The sequence below is a fragment of the Homo sapiens genome, chromosome 1 (genome assembly GCF_000001405.40).
Source record: "Homo sapiens chromosome 1, GRCh38.p14 Primary Assembly".
NCBI classification, from domain to species: domain Eukaryota; kingdom Metazoa; phylum Chordata; class Mammalia; order Primates; family Hominidae; genus Homo; species Homo sapiens.
Window position 1 is genome coordinate 22,296,637 of NC_000001.11, and position 2,873 is coordinate 22,299,509.

Consider the following 2,873-nt stretch of genomic DNA (forward strand, 5'->3'; position numbering starts at 1 on the left):
TTTTCACATGGCATTCTCCACATGTGCATGTCTCTGTGCCCAAAATCTCCCCGATTTATAAGGACACCAGTCACATTGGATTAGCCACCCTATTCCAGGATGACCTCATCTTAACTAAGTACATCTGCAACAACCTTATTCCTAGATTAGGAAATTCTGAGGTGCTGAGGGTTAAGACTTCAACATATGAATTTGGGTGTGGTGGGGAAACACAACGGAACACATGATACTATCTGTGGTTTCTCCCTGTGGCTTGGGCTTCCCACAGCAGGTGGCTGGGCCCCTAGAGGGAGCACCCCAGGGCGGGTGTCCCGAGAAGGACAGTTGGGGCTGCAAGGCTTCTGACCTCCCCTCCGAAATCACACAGCATCATTTCTGCTGTGTTCTGTTGGTTAAAAGTGAGTCACGGAGCCTGTGCAGGTCCAGGGGAGGGGCCCCACAAGGGTGTGAATTCTGGGAGGTGTGCTGGGAGCTGGCTTTGGAACCAGTTACCCCAGGTTCACGGCAGGCTAACATCCCGAATCCCAGATTAAAGCATGTTCTGTTCCCTGAGTTTTGTCCCTCTGGTTAGCTCCCAGGGGTAGTTGCTCAATAAACTGTTGTGGCCTGGAATTTTATCGTGAAGGGATCTGTTCCATCAGCAGGAAAGTGCCAGGCCCCACTGCTTCTCCAGTGTGCTCCCTGCCTCTTTTCCTTGGGAACCCAAGGCTGGCAGGGGCCAAGTCCTAGGACCGGAAGGACCCGAAGCTGGAACACAATGGGCTGCTTTTTCCTGCCCACACACCTGGGCCTGGCACTCAGGGGGAAAATTGCCCCAGGCAGGCGGTCTTGCCAGACTTAGAAAGAAGGAGACCGAACTTGAAATGTTTTCTAAATCCTCCAAATGGAGCTTCTGCAGCACCGGCACCAGCTTCCCCCATCCCCACCCCGGGAGAGAGGAAAAGCAGGGAGAGGAAGAGAAGGAGTAGGTTTCCAGTCTGTTTATATTTCAGGCTATTTTGAAACCCCCTGAAGGCACTCACACACAGGGGCACATTTAAATGCACCAGGAAGTGCTCCCGGAATGGAAACTGGAGTCGGCGGAACTCTGGGGCACTGCACTGCCTGCTCTGTTCTGCTGTCCTTCAAACAACCAACAATTCAGCCCCTTCAATGCCCAACTCAAAGCCTCTCTCACCGGAAGGGCTTCTGGAGGTCATCTAGCTCCTCCCATACCCCCTTCTCACCAAACATTTACTGAGCTTCTCAGCATCTTCATTGTCAGTTACAGGACTCTTTGGTCCACAAGGAATAGAGGAAAGGCACCCAAGTTGATCTAGATGAAAACTAAAGGGGGATTTTTTAAGGGGCTTAATTTACATCAAAATCCAAGGAGAGTTTGGCTTCAGGTATGGTTGAATCCAGCTGTTCCAACCATATCATCAAAGATGGGTCTCTGAACATCCCTCAGCTCTGCTCCCTCCATGGTAGCCTCATTCTCAGTATTATAAGGAGGCAAGGTGCCTGCCAGCAGCCCCAGACCCTTATCAAGTCCCTCAGAAGACCTTGGGATGTGAGTTCCCATTGGCCAGGATTAGTCACATGCACTGCTATCCTTACCAGCTGGGAGTGGAGTCAACTCCACCCGAAGCTCAGAGGTCCCTCTCCCACCCAACCCTTATACCCAGACACCAGGCAGCAAGAAAACATGGTACCCATGCTCTCTGCTTATACCCCTCTAGTGATGGAGGACTCTTCAGCCTAGGGGCATCCCTGTCCTCTGATAATTTTATTCAGATTTCTATAATATTTCTTACCATACTTCAGTGCAATTTATTTGTTTGCCTATACCCCTTATTGTACTCCTTGGTTTCTGTGTCTTCAGCACAAGGCCCCCACAGAACAGGTGCTCAACAGACGTTTATCAAATGAAGGATTAATATCTTCCATTACTAAGCACATATGCTGTGCCAGGTGTTTGATGCATATTATCTCATTTGATCCTCGTGACCACTCTCTTAGCTAAAGAGCATCGTCCTGTTTTTATATGTGAAGAAACAGGTTCAGACAGGTTAAGAAGTCACCTTACCAAGGTCATCCAAGAAGAAGGCAGTGGAGCCAGGATTTAAGCCCAGATATTTTTGACTTTAACTTGATATGGAGGTGGGAGAAGCTGGGAAAGAAGGGAAGAGGACAGGAAAGAAGAAGAAGAGCCGAGAGGGTAGTGGAGGAAAAGAGAGGACAGAGGAAGAGGAATGGGAGGAAGCTTTGAATGTTAAAATTTCTTCCTCTGATGGCTATTATTATTATTTTTTTAAAGACACCGTCTTGTTATATTTCCCAGGTTGGATTAGAACTCTTGCTCAAACTCCTGAAGTTTGAGTGGTCCTTCTGCCTTCTGCCACAGCTACTGAGCTGGGAACACAGGTGCACACCACTGCGCCCAGCTGGATGGTTGTTCTTTCTTTCTTTATTTTTTTTTGAGATGGAGTCTTACTCTGTTCACCCAGACTGGAGTGCACTGGCCCGATCTCGGCTCTCTGCAACCTCCACCTCCTGGGTTCAAGTGATTCTCCTGCCTCAGCCAAACCAGTAGCTGGGATTACAGGTACATGTCACCACACCCGGCTAATTTTTTTTTTTTTTTTTAAGTAGAGATGTAGTTTTACCATGTTGGCCAGGCTGGTCTCAAACTCCTGGCCTCAGGTAATCCACTCGCCTTGGCCTCCCAAAGTGCTGGGATTATAAGTGTGAGTCACTGCGCTCGGCCTGGATGGTTATTCTTAATTTGCTTTTTGGTCACTGACTCCTTAAAGAATCTGATCCAAGTTAGCACATTTTGGTGTGGCAATGCACCAAAGTACCGCATGCATGAGACTATTAAATTGAAGTAA

At 48.5% G+C, this 2,873-nt stretch overlaps 1 annotated feature.

Annotated features, from left to right (window-relative positions):
* Positions 656-1,155: an enhancer, noted in NCBI's record as "H3K4me1 hESC enhancer chr1:22623785-22624284 (GRCh37/hg19 assembly coordinates)". NCBI's record gives its function as "activates a minimal SCP1, AML or CMV promoter by ChIP-STARR-seq in naive H9 embryonic stem cells {active_cell/tissue: H9 hESC(naive)}" and the evidence as "EXISTENCE:reporter gene assay evidence [ECO:0000049][PMID:30033119]".